The sequence below is a fragment of the Homo sapiens genome, chromosome 7 (assembly GCF_000001405.40).
Source record: "Homo sapiens chromosome 7, GRCh38.p14 Primary Assembly".
Lineage (NCBI taxonomy): Eukaryota > Metazoa > Chordata > Mammalia > Primates > Hominidae > Homo > Homo sapiens.
The window spans coordinates 12,496,893-12,517,173 of NC_000007.14; the positions used below are offsets into that span (position 1 = coordinate 12,496,893).

The following is a 20,281-nucleotide window of genomic DNA, read 5'->3' on the forward strand; positions in this document are numbered from 1 at the left end:
AGAAATAAAAACACCTTAAAATTGAACATCAGGGAAAATAATACAGAAAAAATTTTGGCTTCTTAGTTTATAAACTAGGACAAAATTATAAGTAATTTACTGCCACCTGGTGGCAAACTTTCACTTTAAATAAAATGAACAGTTAAAAGAAAGACTCCAGCCATTGTGGATCTTTGTCTAGGAAATTTTATATTCCGTTAGAAAAATATTAGAAGAGAAGTTAATACCCAAGTCATAGGAGATTTTGGACCAAAGAAGAGTAAGTAACTAGCCCGAATCAAATAAACTGTAAAGAAAAAAATCAAAATTATTTATGGCGGGGGGAGGAGCCAAGATGGCCGAATAGGAACAGCTCCGGTCTACAGCTCCCAGCCTGAGCGACGCAGAAGACGGGTGATTTCTGCATTTCCATCTAAGGTACCGGGTTCATCTCACTAGAGAGTGCCAGACAGTGGGCACAGGTCAGTGAGTGCGCACACCGTGCGCGAGCAGAAGCAGGGCGAGGCATTGCCTCACTCGGGAAGCGCAAGGGGTCAGGGAGTTCCCTTTCCTAATCAAAGAAAGGGGTGACGGACGGCACCTGGAGAATCGGGAAAATCGGGTCACTCCCACTCGAATACTGCGCTTTTCCCACGGGCTTAAAAAACGGTGCACCATGAGATTATACCCTGCACCCGGCTCGGAGGGTCCTACCCCACGGAGTCTCGCTGATTGCTAGCACAGCAGTCTGAGATCAAACTGCAAGGCGGCAGCGAGGCTGGGGGAGGGGCGCCCACCATTGCCCAGGCTTGATTAGGTAAACAAAGCAGCTGGGAAGCTCGAACTGGGTGGAGCCCACCACAGCTCAAGGAGGCCTGCCTGCCTCTGTAGGCTCCACCTCTGGGGGCAGGGCACAGACAAACAAAAAGACAGCAGTAACCTCTGCAGACTTAAATGCCCCTGTCTGACAGCTTTGAAGAGAGCAGTGGTTCTCCCAGCACGCAGCTGGAGATCTGAGAACGGGCAGACTGCCTCCTCAAGTGGGTCCCTGACCCCTGACCCCTGAGCAGCCTAACTGGGAGGCACCCTCCAGCAGGGGCACACTGACACCTCACACTGCAGGGTACTCCAACAGACCTGCAGCTGAGGGTCCTGTCTGTTAGAAGGAAAACTAACAAACAGAAAGGACATCCACACCAAAAACCCATCTGTACATCACCATCATCAAAGACCAAAAGCAGATAAAACCACAAAGATGGGGAAAAAACAGAACAGAAAAACTGGAAACTCTAAAAAGCAGAGCGCCTCTCCTCCTCCAAAGGAACGCAGCTCCTCACCAGCAACGGAACAAAGCTGGATGGAGAATGACTTTGACGAGCTGAGAGAAGAAGGCTTCGGACGATCAAATTACTCTGAGCTACGGGTGGACATTCAAACCAAAGGCAAAGAAGTTGAAAACTTTGAAAAAAATTTAGAAGAATGTATAACTAGAATAACCAATACAGAGAAGTGCTTAAAGGAGCTGATGGAGCTGAAAACCAAGGCTCGAGAACTACGTGAAGAATGCAGAAGCCTCAGGAGCCGATGCGATCAACTGGAAGAAAGGGTATCAGCAATGGAAGATGAAATCAATGAAATGAAGGGAGAAGGAAAGTTTAGAGAAAAAAGAATAAAAAGAAACGAGCAAAGCCTCCAAGAAATATGGGACTATGTGAAAAGACCAAATCTACGTCTGATTGGTGTACCTGAAAGTGACCAGGAGAATGGAACCGAGTTGGAAAACACTCTGCAGGATATTATCCAGGAGAATTTCCCCAATCTAGCAAGGCAGGCCAACGTTCAGATTCAGGAAATACAGAGAACGCCGCAAAGATACTCCTCGAGAAGAGCAACTCCAAGACACATAATTGTCAGATTCACCAAAGTTGAAATGAAGGAAAAAATGTTAAGGGCAGCCAGAGAGAAAGGTCGGGTTACCCTCAAAGGGAAGCCCATCAGACTAACAGAGGATCTCTCGGCAGAAACCCTACAAGCCAGAAGAGAGTGGGGGCCAATATTCAACATTCTTAAAGAAAAGAATTTTCAACCCAGAATTTCATTTCCAGCCAAACTAAGCTTCATAAGTGAAGGAGAAATAAAACACTTTACAGACAAGCAAATGCTGAGAGATTTTGTCACCACCAGGCCTGCCCTAAAAGAGCTCCTGAAGGAAGCGCTAAACATGGAAAGGAACAACCGGTACCAGCCACTGCAAAATCATGCCAAAATGTAACAACCATAGAGACTAGGAAGAAACTGCATCAACTAACGAGCAAAATCACCAGCTAACATCATAATGACAGGATCAAATTCACACATAACACTATTAACTTTAAATGTAAATGGACTAAATGCTCCAATTAAAAGACACAGACTGGCAAATTGGATAAAGAGTCAAGACCCATCAGTGTGCTGTATTCAGCACACTCACGTGCAGAGACACACATAGGCTCAAAATAAAAGGATGGAGGAAGATCTACCAAGCAAATGGAAAACAAAAAAAGGCAGGGGTTGCAATCCTAGTCTCTGATAAAACAGACTTTAAACCAACAAAGATCAAAAGAGACAAAGAAGGCCATTACATAATGGTAAAGGGATCAATTCAACAAGAAGAGCTAACTATCCTAAATATATATGCACCCAATACAGGAGCACCCAGATTCATAAAGCAAGTCCTGAGTGACCTACAAAGAGACTTAGACTCCCACACATTAATAATGGGAGACTTTAACACCCCACTGTCAACATTAGACAGATCAAGGAAACAGAAAGTCAACAAGGATACCCAGGAATTGAACTCAGCTCTGCACCAAGTGGACCTAATAGACATCTACAGAACTCTCCACCCCAAATCAACAGAATATACATTTTCTTCAGCACCACACCACACCTATTCCAAAATTGACCACATACTTGGAAGTAAAGCTCTCCTCAACAAATGTAAAAGAACAGAAATTATAACAAACTATCTCTCAGACCACAGTGCAATCAAACTAGAACTCAGTATTAAGAATCTCACTCAAAACCGCTCATCTACATGGAAACTGAACAACCTGCTCCTGAATGACTACTGGGTACATAACGAAATGAAGGCAGAAATAAACATGTTCTTTGAAACCAACGAGAACAAAGACACAACATACCAGAATCTCTGGGACGCATTCAAAGCAGTGTGTAGAGGGAAATTTATAGCACTAAATGCCCACAAGAGAAAGCAGGAAAGATCCAAAATTGACACCCTAACATCACAATTAAAAGAACTAGAAAAGCAAGAGCAAACACATTCAAAAGCTAGCAGAAGGCAAGAAATAACTAAAATCAGGCAGAACTGAAGGAAATAGAGACACAAGAAACCCTTCAAAAAATTAATGAATCCAGGAGCTTGTTTTTTGAAATGATCAACAAAATTGATAGACCGCTAGCAAGACTAGTAAAGAAAAAAAGAGAGAAGAATCAAATAGACGCAATAAAAAATGATAAAGGGGATATAACCACCAATCCCACAGAAATACAAACTACCATCAGAGAATACTACAAACACCTCTACGCAAATAAACTAGAAAATCTAGAAGAAATGGATAAATTCCTTGACACATACACTCTCCCAAGACTAAACCAGGAAGAAGTTGAATCTCTGAATAGACCAATAACAGGATCTGAAATTGTGGCAATAATCAATAGCTTACCAACCAAAAAGAGTCCAGGACCAGATGGATTCACAGCCGAATTCTACCAGAGGTACAAGGAGGAATTGGTACAATTCCTTCTGAAACTATTCCAGTCAATAGAAAAAGAGGGAATCCTCCCCAACTCATTTTATGAGGCCAGCATCATTCTGATACCAAAGCCGGGCAGAGACACAACCAAAAAAGAGAATTTTAGACCAATAGCCTTGATGAACATTGATGCAAAAATCCTCAATAAAATACTGGCAAACTGAATCCAGCAGCACATCAAAAAGCTTATCCACCATGATCAAGTGGGCTTCATCCCTGGGATGCAAGGCTGGTTGAATATACGCAAATCAATAAATGTAATCCAGCATATAAACAGAGCCAAAGACAAAAACCACATGGTTATCTCAATAGATGCAGAAAAGGCCTTTGACAAAATTCAACAACACTTCATGCTAAAAACTCTCAATAAATTAGGTATTGATGGGACATATTTCAAAATAATAAGAGCTATCTATGACAAACCCACAGCCAATATCATACTGAATGGGCAAAAACTGGAAGCATTCCCTTTGAAAACTGGCACAAGACAGGGATGTCCTCTCTCACCACTCCTATTCAACATAGTGTTGGAAGTTCTGGCCAGGGCAATTAGGCAGGAGAAGGAAATAAAGGGTATTCAATTAGGAAAAGAGGAAATCAAATTGTCCCTGTTTGCAGATGACATGATTGTATATCTAGAAAACCCCATTGTCTCAGCCCAAAATCTCCTTAAGCTGATAAGCAACTTCAGCAAAGTCTCAGGATACAAAATCAATGTGCAAAAATCACAAGCATTCCTATACACCAACAACAGACAAACAGAGAGCTAAATCATGAGTGGAATCCCATTCACAATTGCTTCAAAGAGAATAAAATACCTAGGAATCCAACTTACAAGGGATGTGAAGGACCTCTTCAAGGAGAACTACAAACCACTGCTCAAGGAAATAAAAGAGGATACAAACAAATGGAAGAACATTCCATGCTCATGGGTAGGAAGAATCAATATCGTGAAAATGGCCATACTGCCCAAGGTAATTTACAGATTCAATGCCATCCCCATCAAGCTACCAATGCCTTTATTCACAGAATTGGAAAAAACTACTTTAAAGTTCATATGGAACCAAAAAAGAGCCCACATTGCCAAGTCAATCCTAAGCCAAAAGAACAAAGCTGGAGGCATCACACTACCTGACTTCAAACTATACTACAAGGCTACAGTAACCAAAACAGCATGGTACTGGTACCAAAACAGAGATATAGATCAATGGAACAGAACAGAGCCCTCAGAAATAACGCCGCATATCTACAACTATCTGATCTTTGACAAACCTGAGAAAAACAAGCAATGGGGAAAGGATTCCCTATTTAATAAATGGTGCTGGGAAAACTGGCTAGCCATATGTAGAAAGCTGAAACTGGATCCCTTCCTTACACCTTATACAAAAATCAATTCAAGATGGATTAAAGACTTAAACGTTAGACCTAAAACCATAAAAACCCTAGAAGAAAACCTAGGCATTACCATTCAGGACATAGGCATGGGCAAGGACTTCATGTCTAAAACACCAAAAGCAATGGCAACCAAAGCCAAAATTGACAAATGGGATCTAATTAAACTAAAGAGCTTCTGCACAGCAAAAGAAACTACCATCAGAGTGAACAGGCAACCTACAAAATGGGAGAAAATTTTTGCAACCTACTCATCTGACAAAGGGCTAATATCCAGAATCTACAATGAACTCAAACAAATTTACAAGAAAAAAACAAACAACCCCATCAAAAAGTGGGTGAGGGACATGAACAGACACTTCTCAAAAGAAGACATTTATGCAGCCAAAAAACACATGAAAAAATGCTCACCGTCACTGGCCATCAGAGAAATGCAAATCAAAACCACAATGAGATACCATCTCACACCAGTTAGAATGGCAATCATTAAAAAGTCAGGAAACAACAGGTGCTGGAGAGGATGTGGAGAAATAGGAACACTTTTACATTGTTGGTGGGACTGTAAACTAGTTCAACCATTGTAGAAGTTGGTGTGGTGATTCCTCAGGGATCTAGAACTGGAAATACCATTTGACCCAGCCATCCCATTACTGGGTATATACCCAAAGGACTATAAATCATGCTGCTATAAAGACACATGCACACGTATGTTTATTGCGGCATCATTCACAATAGCAAAGACTTGGAACCAACCCAAATGTCCAAGAATGATAGACTGGATTAAGAAAATGTGGCACATATACACCATGGAATACTATGCAGCCATAAAAAATGATGAGTTCATGTCCTTTGTAGGGACCTGGATGAAATTGGAAGTCATCATTCTCACTAAACTATCGCAACAACAAAAAACCAAACACTGCATATTCTCACTCATAGGTGGGAATTGAACAATGAGATCACATGGACACAGGAAGGGGAACATGACACTCTGGGGACTGTTGTGGGGTGGGGGTAGGGGGGAGGGATAGCATTGGGAGATATACCTAATGCTAGATGACGAGTTAGTGGGTGCAGCACACCAGCATGGCACATGTATATGTATGTAACTAAGCTGCACAATGTGCACATGTACCCTAAAACTTAAAGTATAATAATAAACAAATAAATAAAAGAAGGAAACACAAAAGAAAAAAAATATTTATGGGATTTATGAGATAATTGGAAACTTGAATTGTGGATATTCAATAATACCAATGAATTGATGTTCATTTTTTAGATGTCATAATGGTGCTTATGTTTTAAAAATAAAAGTGTTCTTATCTTTTGGGGGTAACATTCTGATATAATTACTGATAAAATATTATGATGCTTCAAAACAATATGGGAAGGGGAAAAAGTTGGAGATATATTTGGGGCAAGTGTGTGAAATAAGATTAGCCATAAAAGGTAATTTTTTAAACTGGATGATGGTTACATGGGGGATTCATTACACAATGTCTACTTTTGTATATATTTGAAGTTTTCTTTCTTTTTTTTTTTAATTATACTTTAAGTTTTAGGGTACATGTGCACAGCGTGCAGGTTTGTTACACATGTATACATGTGCCATGTTGGTGTGCTGCACCCATTATATTTGAAGTTTTCTATTTTAAAAAGTTTTTTTAACTTACCAAGAAATATGTATCTATTGAGTGTAGGTTTTGATTAATAAAAAGGAGGAATTTTCCACATAAATTATGTAGCAGAGGCTGAGTGTGGTAGCTCACACCTGTAATCCCATCAATTTGGGAGGCTGAGGTGGAAGGATTGCTTGAAGCTAGGTGTTTGAGACCAGCCTAGGCGACAGAGCATGACTGTGTTTCTGAAAAAAAGAAAAAGGAAACAAAAAGAAAATTAAGATCTGTAGGTTGAGCCGTAGATTAGAAAGAACTTGTAATCTTTATTTGTTTTAAAAAATGTCCTTTGAAGAAATTAAGTCAACCTTCTTAAGCCCAAGGTGAAAACTGCCTCTCAGAATCATATAATATATCACATGTCAAACTCATATCACTTTATAAAGCAGATTGCTAAGCAATTACAAAAGGTGAGTTCTCAAGACTTAGTAAAACTGATTTGGAGTTCAATTATTCATGTGCTCTCTTTCTGTGTATTTACTGAGTATTGAGCTTGTTGTTGTGCTGATTTTCAACCTTTGGAAATAAAAGCATGAGAGTTATTGCTTTGTTGCTATGTTTTAGGCAACAACCAGAGGCCCTAGTTTTACTTTTCTTTTTCTACTCTGACTTGAGTCTGGTAGAAAATTAATTCGGTTTCTTAGCAACCCAGATGAGCAAAACTTAAATATACTTTAGCTTCTTTTGTAAAGCAAAGGATAATGTTAAACTGTTAGTCTCTCTTGGCTTTACAGAAAAGATTTGCTGAGATATATTACTCTAAAACTTTTATGAAAAGCTATCTTTCAAATGGTAAGTGAAGTAACTGGTTTTCTAATGAATGCTCCTGCCTTTTGTTTTTATTTTGAATTCTTCTTGTTTGTCAAACTGACTAGCTCTTTGGAGCCTATATGTTTTATATGTTAAGGTATATAAGATGAATTCACTTATGAGAAAAGCAATTCATTTATCCATGATATAATAAATAAATAAGAAATTATGAAAAGTATATTAAGAAAGAGAAAGCCCTGCTAAAAGACAGTGTTGAATTTCCCTTTATACAAGTTTACAAATGTGCATGAATATGTGGTCTAAAAAGTTTACTGTGATCACGATAGCAGATTATATTACATTTTTTTATATTGACAACTTATTAAGGTATCAAGTGTATCTGTATCTATTTTTTTACCTATCTACCTCCCAAATTTAATGTTATAAAATTCAAATCATATATCTAGGCAAAGGAACTTTAAATTTGCATATATTTACTAACTAAAGAAATGTATTCCTTTTTTTATTAGCAAATTTAAAAGCAGATAACAAAAATATTTAGTGACTTTCCTGGAGAAAATCTTTGAGGAAGAAATTCAAAAGAATGTTTTTTGTATTGTCACTATTATGGTGAAGTTTTTCTTTATTTAGAAAAAAATATGATTAGATGTTTGGGTTTTACATACAGTTTTCAAAAGGCGAATATAATTTTCACAATTTGGCAAACATAATTATTATGATTGAAATATATAAAATTTGCATTTTTGTAAGGTAGAAAATGGTTGAATAACAATTTCACACAGCTCAATCTAAAACATGGAGAACTATGCATAGAGTTTGTAGAGATAGAAATCCTTGTCTTAATTATTTTATAATCTAATTAGGAGTTGACATAAATAAATTATCCAGGTACAAGTTAAAATGAAGATTTGAACTCCATTGTTGTATTCAGAAAAAGAAAACATAAATCCTGATACAGAGATTTGAAAATGCTTTCATTGGAGGCAGCATTTAAACTGATCCTTGAGGTATAAATATACTATCTTAGGTGGAGAATAACTCTGCTTATTGAATGCAGATAAAGCCATTCTTTTATTTTCAGTGCAACATCTTGGACAACCTATAGGTTTTATAAAAGCAACATTTACTATTAAATCTTTAAATGAGAATATTACTAATTTATTTTTTCCTTAATTTCTCAGTCATATATTTCATAGCTTTGTATTTCTCTAATCTTTAGTTTTTTCCATGTAAAAGGAAAACTATGGTGCACTATTTCATTATTGTCTTCAGTTATTCAAGTAGTTCTCCAGTTGATTATTTCTGCCTGGGAACTACAAAGACATATGTGATTCTGTGATTTATATACAATAGAAGCTTAATTTTACATACATATTATTCAAAAGGATAATATGTAATAATAAATTCATAATATAAGGACAAAATAAGGTATCATAGAGAAGTGAAACAAATTTATTTTCTTTTAAAATGTGGCATAGTACATTGAGGCCTTGAATGTATTTGCTTCATTTCAGAACACAATGCAACAAGCTCAGAAACAGAGATGACTATCAAAACCACAATGAGATATCATCTCACACCAGTTAGAATGGCGATCATTAAAAAGTCAGGAAACAACAGATGCTGGAGAGGTTGTGGAAAAATAGGAATGCTTTTACACTGTTGGTGGGAGTGTAAATTAGTTCAACCATTGTGGAAGACAGCGTGGCGATTCCTCAAGGATCTAGAGCTAGAAATACCATTTGACCCAGTGATCCCATTACTGGATATATACCCAAAGGGTTATAAATCATGCTACTATAAAGACACATGCACACATATGTTTATTACGGCACTATTCACAATGCAAAGACTTGGAACCAACCCACTTGTCCATCAGTGATAGACTGGATAGAGAAAATGTGGCACATATACACCATGAAATACTATGCAGCCATAAAAAATGATGAGTTCGTGTCCTTTGCAGGGACATAGATGAAGGTGTAAACCATCATTCTCAGCAAACTATCACAAGGACAGAAAACCAGTCACTGCATGTTCTCACTCATACGTGGGAGTTCAACAATGAGAACACATGGACACAGGGTGGGGAACATCACACGCTGGGGCCTGTCATGGGGTGGGAGGCTGGGGGAGGGATAGCATTAGGAGAAATACCTAATGTAAATGTCGAGTTGATAGGTACAGCAAACCAACATGGCACATGTATACGTATGTAACAAACCTGCACATTGTGCACATGTACCCTAGAACTTAAAGTATAAAATAAAAAGGGACAGAGATGACTACTGCACTGAAAAAATACAGCAATTCCAAGTTTGTCAGGTTATCGTAGAAAAGTCTACAGTGTTGTATAACAAGTTTAAGAACATGTTTTTGGTTGGTGAAGGAGATTCCACAGTCACATAAAGTGCTGAATAAATCTCTTGCTGAACAAAGACAACATGAGGAAGCAAATAAAACCAAAGATTAAGGGCCAAAAAAAAGCTAGAAAAGGGCCGGGCGCGGTGTCACCCTGTAATCCCAGCACTTTGGGAGGCCGAGACGGGCGGATCAGGAGGTCAAGAGATCGAGATCATCCTGGCCAACATGGTGAAACCCTGTCTCTACTAAAAATACAAAAAAAAAAAAAAAAGCTGGGCATGGTGGCAGACAACTGTAGTCCCAGCTACTTGGGAGTCTGAGGCAGGAGAAATCACTTGAACCCAGGAGGCGGAGGTTGCAGTGAGCCAAGATCGTGCCACTGCACTCCAGCCTGGTGACAGAATGAGACTCCACCAAAAAAAAAAAAAAAAAAAAGGCTAGAAAAGGAATGGATACAAGCCAGTAATTAACCACAACACAATGGAGAGAGCAATGAAGAAAGCAGACAGCCATGAGGCCAGCACTAAGAAAAAGCCATCCAGTGATGAGAGAGAGAGACGGAAATATCTCTGATGGATTCTACATTAGATAGCAAGGTTGACATACCTGGAATGTAGAGAGCACTTGAGAAGTTTGTAAAGTTTTCATTTGACATATTTAGACTGCTGAAAGTTTTAAAATTTTTATAAGCGTAGGTTTTGATGTTGAAAACTTGTTTTTAGGGAGAAAATCCCTATATCTTTGTTTAAAGGTAATTAGACAGTATCACTAACTGTCCCTGTGCAGTAATAACAGCCTCATTATATAGTAAATGTGGGGCAAAATCCATTTGGAAAATGTTAAGCTGCATTTCCAGACAAGGTTGTAGTGTATTTTTAATTAGTGCATGTATGTTATGTGTAATTGCTAGTAGAACAAAGTTATATATTTAAAACTGTTACTTGTAGAAACCTTTCCAGTTTTCCCAAATACCATGGGTTTTGTGCATAGTTTATACAAATCTTTAATTTACCAGACCGTCTTTTCAGTTTGTGGGTTTTGTGGAAGTTAAGCATTTTTATGTTAGACAAAATGTTACAAAAAGTACTCACTCTCTTCTTTTATCAAAAGTTAATTTTAATCTCAGTCTACATCATGCTACGTTCTCCGGCTTCTTTGAAATAATGTGTGGTCTGTAAGCCTTTTTATATGACAACTATTAAAAGATAACCAACTGACATGAACTGACTGAGAATTCTAAGTATAAAACTCTTGTTAATTTTTGAGGGTCATTTAGTTTTGTGACAGGGCATTCGGTAAAGTCTTGTGACTTCCCTGCAGACAACAGGCTGAGTATATATAGGAATGAATCTGGCTTTAGGGCTCAGTCATTTGAGATCTTTTATAGGCAGCCACAAGTAACTAAAACTGAAAACTAAATATGCTTATTTTTGAGAAATGGCTCAAGTTTCTAAGTTTTTTTTAAAAAGTTGTACTCATTAAGGAAGTCACTAGATAACATTTCATTGGAAAAAAAATCAGTCCATGATGCTTATGTGGTAAATATGAGAAAATGCTATGTAAGGAAACTAACCTATTTGAAAACATGGTTATATTAGAAGAAAAATTTTATTTTCATTTCTATATCATACACATGGAAGAATTGCAAAAATACAAACATGAGTTGCTCCAATGTACTTTGATAGTTTGTATATTGGCATGTATGGACTAAATCAGGGTGAAACCAATGTTAACACAAAATTTAAGGGTACGTTAACTAAAGCAGGGGCCTCCAACCCAAACCAGGCCACACAACAGGAGGTGAACAGAGGGCCAGAGAGCAAAGCTTCACCTGTATTTACAGCCACTCCCCATTGTTTACATTACCATCTGAGCTCTGCTTCCTGTCAGATCAGTGGTGGCATTAGAGTCTTATAGGAGCGTGAACCCTATTGTGAACTGCACATGTGCTCCTTATGAGAATCAAATGCCTGATGATCTGTCACTGTCTCCCATCACCCCCAGATGGGACAGTCTGGTTGAAGGAAAACAAGCTCAAGGCTCCCACCAATTCTACATTATGGTGACTTGTATAATTATTTCATTATACATTGCAATGTAATAATAATAGAAATAAAGTGCACAGTAAGTGTAATGCATTTGAATCATTCTGAAACCATCTCCCCATCCTTCCTCAGTCTGTGGAAAAGTTGTCTCCCACGAGATCACTCACTGGTGCCAAAAAGATTGGGGACTGCTGAACTAAAGGATGGTATTTCTAAGATATTTTGAATATTAGGTCATTTAATACTTTTCAATATGTAGGATATTTACCATGTTTGGAACTATATGAATGTGGGAAAATGACTTAAGACTAATGTTTAGGTGTGACATTGTATGGCTTGACCCTCTAGGATAATTGCTTTTCTCTACAGATTAGAATGTTTGAATTATTTCAGTAATTAGGTTTTTGCTTTGGAAAGATCTTACGATAGAACTAGGAGTTACTGCTTTGAGAGAACCTGTGTATGTACTGGTCATTATCCATTTGGTCCTTAATACAATTTTAACTTGTACAGATTTATTCTAATTAACCCATAAGGGTCAACATGTAAACTTGTTTTAATTAAATATACTAAATATTGTTGCTAAGTATAGTCAACCTAATCTGCTATGAAACATTAGAATTTATTTCTTCCATCCTACAGTATGTTTTTACCCATTAACCAATTTATTCTCATAACCCCCTCTCACCAACTCACTCTTCCCAGTCTCTGATATTCATCATTCTATTCTCTATGTCCATGTGATCAAGTTTTTTAACTCCCACGTATGAGTGAGAACATGCAGTGTTTGCCTTTCTGTGGCCGGCTTATTTTGCTTAACATAATGACTTCTATCTCCATCCATGTTACTGCAAAAGATCAGGATTTCAGCCAGGTGCAGTGGCTCATGCCTGTAATCCCAGTACTTTGGGAGGCCAAGGCAGGTGGATCACCTGAGATCAGGACAAAAATTAGCCGGGCGTGGTGGCGGGTGCCTGTAATCCCAGCTACTTTGGAGGCTGAGGCATGAGAATCACTTGAACCCGGGAGGCAGAGGTTGCAGTGAGCTGAGACCACGCCATTGCACTCCAGCCTGGGCAACAAGGCCAAAACTCCATCTCAAGGAAAAAAAAAAAAAAAAGACAGGATTTCATTCTTTATTTTATGGTTGACGGGTATTCTATTATGTGTATATATACTTTTTTTAATCCAGTGTTCAATTGGTGGATACAGCTTGATTTTATATCTTTGCTAATTTTGGGAGGGTGGGGGGGTTTCTTGAGACAGGATCCTACTCTGTCACCCAGGCTGGATCACGATCCAGCAGTGGCAGGATCATGGCTCACTGCAGCCCCAAACTCCCCAGACTCAGGAGATCTTCCTACCTCAGCCTCCCAAGTAGCTGGGGTGACAGGCACATGCCACCATGCCTGGCTAATTTCTGTACTTTTTGAAGAGACAGGGTCTCACCATGTTGCCCAGGATTGTCTCAAACTTCTTTTCCTTTGGAAAAATATTCCACAGTGGGATTTCTGGATATTATGGTAGTTCTGTTTTTACTTTTTTGAGAAATCTCCATACTGTAGTGAGAATGTACTAATTTACATTCTCACCAACAGTGTATACATAGTTTCCTTTTTTCTATACTCTTGCCAGCATATGTTATTTTTTGTCCTGGATAATAGCCATTCTAACTGTGGTGGTTTTGATTTGCATTTCTATGTGATTAGTGATTTAGAGCAATTTTTCATATATCTGTTGGTCTTTTGTATGCCTTCTTTTGAGATCTGTTTATTCTTGTGCTTTGTCCACTTTTTAATAGGATTGTTTGGGGTTTTTGCTGCTGAGTTGTTTAAGTTCCTTGTATATGTTGGATATTAGCTTTCTGTTGGATGATTAGTTTGCACATATTCTCTTCTATTCTGTAGATTATCCCATCACTCTTGTTTATTTTGCTGTGCAGAGCCTTTTAGTTGAACATTGTCCCATTTGTCTATTTTTGTTTTTGTTAGTTATGCTTTTGAGGTTTTAGCCATAAAATCTTTGCCTAAACCAATGTCCTGAGGAGCTTTCCCTGTGTTTTTTGTAGTAGTTTTATAATTTCAGGTTTTATGTTAAAGTCTTTAATCCATCTGGAGTTGATTTTTGCATATGGTGAGAAATAGGGTTCCAGTTTCATTCTCCTGCCTGTGGTTATCCAGTTTTCCAACTATGTATTGAAGAGGGTTTTTGTTCCCCAATGTAGGTTCTTGGTGGCTTTGAGGAAGATAAGTTAGCTGTAAATATGTGGGTTTATTTCTGGATTCTCTATTCTGTACCTGTGGTATATGCATCAATTTTTATACCAATACCATGCTATTTTGATTACTCTAGATTTGTAATATGTTTTGAAGATAGGTAGTGTGATGTTTACAACTTTGTCCTTTTTGCTCAGTATTACTTTGGCAATTTGGGATCTTTTATGGTTATGAAAGATTGTTTTTCTATTTCTGTGAAAAATGTCATTGGTATTATGATAGGGATTCCATTGACTTTGTAGATTGCTTTGGCTAGTGTGGTCATTTTAATGATATTGATTCTTCTAATCCATAAGCATGGGATGTTTTTCCATTTGTGTCATCTACAATTTCTTTCATCAGTGTTTTGTAGCTTTCCTTATAGAGATCTTTCACCTCGTTAGCTCAATTTATTCTTAGGTATTTCTTTGTAGCTATAGAAAATAAAATTGCCTTCTTGATTGCTTTTTTGGCTATTTCATTATTGGTGTATAGAAACACTACTAATTTTGTATGTTTATTTTGTGTCTTGTAACTGAATTTGGTTTTTTTGGGTTTTTGTTTTTTGTTTTTTGTTTTTAAGATGGAGTCTTGCTCTGTCGCCCAGGCTGGAGTGCAGTGGCACGATCTCAGCTCACTGCAAGCTCTGCTTCCCGGGTTCACACCATTCTCCTGCCTCAGCCTCCCGAGTAGCTGGGACTACAGGCGCCCACCACCACACCTGGCTAATTTTTTTTTTTTTTTTTTTTTTTTTTTTTTGTATTTTCAGTAGAGACGGGGTTTCACCGTGTTAGCCAGGATGGTCTCGATCTCCTGACTTCATGATCCACCCTCCTTGGCCTCCCAAAGTGCTGGGATTACAGGCGTGAGCCACCACGCCTGGCCTGAATTTGTTTATTAGTTCTAAGAGTTTTTTTAGTGGAGACTTTTGGTTTTTCTAAATGTAAATATAAAATAGAATTTGACTTTCACTTTTCCAACTTAGATGTGCTTTATTTCTTTGTGATTTCTCTGGCTAAGACTTCCAGTATTTTGTTGAATCATAGTGGTGAAAGTGGGTATTTTTGCCTTGTTACACTTCTTAGAGAAGAGACTTTCAGCTTTTCCCCATTTAGTATCATGTTAGCTGTGGGTTTGTCATATATGGCTTTTATTATATTGAGATATGTTCCTTCAATGCTTAGCTTATTGAGAGTTTTTATCATAAAGTGGTGTGGAATTTTATCAAATTCTTTTTCTGCATCTGTTGAGATGATCAAATCAATTTTGTCCTTCATTCTGTTGATGTGATGTATTATGTTTACTGACTTCCACATGTTGAACCATCTTTTCAGCCCTGGTATAAATCACACCTTATCATGGTGTATATCTTTTTGATGTGCAGTTGGATTTGATTTGCTAGCATTTTGTTGCAGATTTTTGCACCTCTGTTCATCAGGAATATTGGACTACTGTAGTTTTCTTATTTTCTTGTATCCTTTCCTGGCTTTTGTATCAGAGTAATGCTGATCTTGTAGAATGAGTTAGTTTTCTTCAATTTTTTGGAATAGTTTGAGGATGATTAGTATTAGTTCTTTACATGTTTAGTACAGTTTAGCAGTGAATCCATCAGTCTTTGTATTTTCTTTGCTGAGAGCCTTCTTATTACAGATTCCACATTACTACTTATTAGTCTGTTCAGGTTTTCTATTCTTCCTGATTTAATTTTAGTCGGTTGTATGCCTCCAGGAATTTTTCCATTTCCTCTTGGTTTTTCACTTTATATGCATATAGTTGTTAATAATAGTCTCTGATGATCGTTTATATTTCTCTGGCATCAGTTGTAAGTCTCCTTTTTAATTTCTGATTTTGTTTCTTAGAGTCTTTTTTATTCTTGGTTATTCTATCTAGTGGTTCATCGATTTTATCTATCTTTTCAAAAACTCAGCCTTGTATTTCATTGATTCTCTGTATTTCTTTTAGTTTTTATTTCATTTAGTTCTGCTCTTACCTTTTTTCTTTCTTTCTTTCTTTTTCTTTCTTTCTTCTGTCTTTCTCTCTTTCTTTCCTTCTTTCTTTTTTTGTTGCTATTTTTGGGTTTGGTTTCTTGTTGCTTTTCTAGTTCTTCCAGGTACAGCCTTAAGTTGTTTATTTAAAATCTTTGTTTTTTTGGTTGTCGTTGCTGCTGTTGTTGCTCTTGTTTTTATGTAGCTGTTTGTGCTACAAAGTTCCAGTCAAGTACTTCTTTTGCTGTATCCCACAGCTTTTGGTATGTGGTATTTTCATTTGCATTTGTATCAAGAAATTTTTAAATTAAAAAAATTTTCTTCTTTGACTCATTTGTTGTTCAGTAGAATTTTGTTTAGTTTCCATGTATTTGTATGGTTTTTGGAGTTCCCCTGGTATTTATTTCTAGTTTTATTCCACTGTGGTTGAGAAAATACTTAATATAACTTCAGTTTTAAAATTTGTTATGACATCTTTTGTGGTTTAACATGTGGCCCATTTTGAAGACTGTTCCAAGTGCTGATAAGAAGAATGCCTATTCTGGGCCGGGCGCGGTGGCTCATGCCTGTAATCCCAGCACTTTGGGAGGCCGAGGCGGGTGGATCACGACGTCAGGAGATTGAGACCATCCTGGCTTACACGGTGAAACCCCGTCTCTACTAAAAATACAAAAAATTAGCTGGGCGTGGTGGTGGGTGCCTGTAGTCCCAGCTACTAGGGAGGCTGAAGCAGGAGAATGGTGTAAACCCAGGAGGCGGAGCTTGCAGTGAGCTGAGATCACGCCACTGCACTCCAGCCTGGGCAACAGAGCGAGACTCCGTCTCAAAAGAAAAAAGAAAAAAAAAGTAAAATGCCTATTCTGTAGTTGTTGGAGAAAATGTTCTGTAAATGCCTGTTAGGTTCATTTAAATTCAATGTTTCTTTACTGATTTTCTGTCCACATGATCTGTCTAATGCTCAGAGTGGGGTGTTCAAGTATCCCACTATTATTATATTGGAATCTATGTCTCTCTTTAGATTTAGTAAAATTTGCTTTATAGATCTGGGTGCTCCAGTGTTGGGTGCACATATACCTAGAATTGTTATGTTCTCTTGCTGAACTAATTCCCCTTTACCATTATATAACAATATTCTTTATCTTTTATTTTTACTGTTTTTAACTTAGTCTGTTTTATCTGATATAAGTACAGCTACTCTTCTTTGCTTTTTTTTTAATAGAATATCTTTTCCCATACCTGTATTTTCCATGTATGTCTTTACAGATAAGTTGAGTTTCTTGTAAGCAGAATATAGTTGAATCATGTTTTTGTGTCTGTTCAGCCAGTGTAAATCTTTTAAGTGGAGATTTTAATTCATTTACTTTCAAGGTTATTATTGATTTTTGAAGTTTTCTTTCTGTCATATTGTTCATTGTTTTCTGGCTGTTTTATATATTCTTTACTTGTTCTTTTTTCTTTTATTATTTGCCCATAGGGTCTTGTAGTTTTCTGTTGTGGTACTATTTGACTCCTTTCTCTTCCTCGTTTGTGTGTTTGCTTTACCAGTGATTTTACACTTACTTATGTTTTCATGATGATGACTGATCCTTTCCCTTTCAAGTTTAGGACTCCCTTGAGCATTTTTTGTAGAACCAGTCTAGTGATGATGAATTCCCTCAAAATTTGCTTCTCTGGGAAAGACTTTATTTATCCTGTATGAAGGATAATTTTCTTAGATATAGTATCCATAGGTGATAGGATTTTTTCTTTTAGCACTCTGAACACATCATCCCATTCCTTCCTTTCCTGTAAGGTTTCTGATGAGAAATCTGCTCTTAGTCTGATGGAGGTAACTTTATAGGTAACTAGAAGCTTTTCTCTTGTTGTTTTTATAAACTTGTCTTTAGACAGTTTAACTACAATGTGCTGTCTCCATTTGGAGATCACTGTGCCTTCGCTAACACTATGTCTTCATGTCAATATGGTTTGGCTGTGTCCTCACCCAAATCTCATCTTGAATTGTACTCCCATAATTCCCATGTGTTGTGTGAGGGACCCAGTGGGAGATAATTTGAATCACAGAGGCAGTTTCCCCCATACTATTCTCGTGATAGTGAATAAGTCTCACGAGATATGATGGTTTTATCAGGAGTTTCTGCTTTTGCATCTTCCTCATTTTCTCTTGCCATTGCCATGTAAAAAGTGCCTTTCACCTCCCACCATAATTCTGAGGCCTCCCCAGCCATGTGGAACTGTAAGTCCAATTAAACCTCATTTTCTTCCCAGTCTCAGATATGTCTTTATCAGCAGTGTGAAAATGGACCAATACACTAAATTGGTATCAGAAGAGTGGGGTGTTGCTGAAAAGATACCTGAAAATGTGGAAACAATTTTGGAATTGGGTAACAGGCAGAGGCTGGAACGGTTTGGAGGGTTTCGAAGAAGGCAGGAAAATGTGTGAAAGTTTGGAAATTCCTAGAGACTTGTTGAATGGCTTTGATCAAAAGCCTGATAGTGATATGGACAATAAGGTCCAGACTGAGGTGGTCTCAGATGGAGATGAGGAACTTGTTGGGAACTGGAGCAAAGGTGACTCTTGTTTTGTTTTAGCAAAGAGACGGGTGGCATTTTGCTCCTGCCCTAGAGATTTGTGGAATTTTGAACTTTAGAGAGAAGATTTAGGGTATCTGGCAGAAGAAATTTCTAAGCAGCCAAGCATTTAAGATGTGACTTCGATGCTGTTAAAGGCATTCAGTTTTATAAGGGAAGCAGAGCATAAAAGTTCAGAAAATTTGCAGCCTGACAATGTGATAGAAAAGAAAAACCCATTTTCTGAGGAGAAATTCAACCTGGCTGCAGAAATTTACATAAGTAACAAGGAGCCAAATGTTAATTCCCAAGAGAATGGGGAAAATGTCTCTAGGGTATGTCAGATGTCTTCACAGCAGACCCTCCCATCACAGGCCCAGAGACCTAAGAGAAAATGGTTTTGTGGGCCAGGCCCAGGGTCTCTGTACTACGTGCAGCCTAGGGACTTGGTGCCCTATGTCCCAGATGCTCCAGCCCTGGCTGTAAGGGGCCAATGTAGAGCTTGGGCAATGGCTTCAGAGGGTGCAAGCCCCAAGCCTTGGCAGCTTTCATATGGTGTTGAACCTGCGAGTGCACAGAAGTCAAGAACTGGGGTTTGGGAACCTCCACCTAGATTTCAGAAGATGTGTGAAAATGCATGAATGCCCAAGCAGAAGTTTGCTGCAGGAGCGGGGCACTCATGGAGAACCTCTGCTAGGACAGTGCAGAAGGGTAATGTGCTGTGGGAGGCCCCACACAGAGTCCCCACTGGGGCATGGCCTACTAGAGCTATGAGAAGAGTGATACCATCCTCCAGATCCCAGAATGGTAGATCCACTGACAGCTTGCACCATGTGCCTGGAAAAGCCACAGACACTCAATGCCAGCCCGTGAAAGCAGCTGGGAGGAAAGCTGTACCCTGCAAAGCCACAGGGGAGGAGCTGCCTAACACCATGGGAACCCACCTCTTGCATCAGCATGACCTGGATGTGAGACCTGGAGTCAAAGGAGATCATTTTGGGGCTTTAAAATTTGACTGCCCAGATGGATTTCAGACTTGCATGGGCCCTGTAACCCCTTTGTTTTGGCCACTTTCTCCCATTTGGAACTGCTGTATTTACCAAATACCTGTACCCCCATTGTATCAAGGAAGTAACTAGCTTGCTTTTGATTTTACAGGCTCATAGGCGGAAGGGAGTTGCCTTGTCTCAGATGAGACTTTGGACTGTAGACTTTTGGGTTTAATGCTGAAATGAGTTAAGACTTTGGGAGATTGTTGGGAAGGCATGATTGGTTTTGAAATGTGAGGACATGAGATTTGGAGGGGCCAGGGGTGGAATGACATAGTTTAACTGTGTCCCCACCCAAATCTCATCTTGAATTGTACTCCCATAATTCCCATGTGTTATGGGAGGGACTCGGTGGAAGATAATTTGAATCATGGGTGCAGTT

The 20,281-nt window shown here is 38.3% G+C and overlaps 1 protein-coding gene across 8 annotated transcripts in view, besides 1 other annotated feature; it reads left to right on the top strand.

The window, feature by feature from the left end:
- The window catches only part of C7orf78 (chromosome 7 open reading frame 78), a 58,845-nt gene that overhangs the window by 13,549 nt on the left and 25,015 nt on the right, over positions 1-20,281 (top strand). For 2 of the 8 annotated variants that reach the window (NR_136263.1, XM_047419721.1), the window contains exon 1: positions 7,505-7,654. The exons of 3 other annotated variants lie outside the window; for them this stretch is intronic. Coding sequence is in view for 3 of the 5 variants with exons in the window: in XM_047419721.1 (XP_047275677.1) it covers positions 7,652-7,654 (3 nt within the window). In the remaining 2 variants the exon portion in view is untranslated. Of the gene's footprint in view, positions 1-353; positions 418-7,504; positions 7,655-20,281 lie in introns of those variants that run through there. 3 more of the 8 variants (NM_001386513.1, NM_001386514.1, NR_136262.1) reach the window with 2 other exon arrangements.
- Positions 30-658: an enhancer, noted in NCBI's record as "NANOG-H3K27ac-H3K4me1 hESC enhancer chr7:12536548-12537176 (GRCh37/hg19 assembly coordinates)". NCBI's record gives its function as "activates a minimal SCP1, AML or CMV promoter by ChIP-STARR-seq in naive H9 embryonic stem cells {active_cell/tissue: H9 hESC(naive)}" and the evidence as "EXISTENCE:reporter gene assay evidence [ECO:0000049][PMID:30033119]".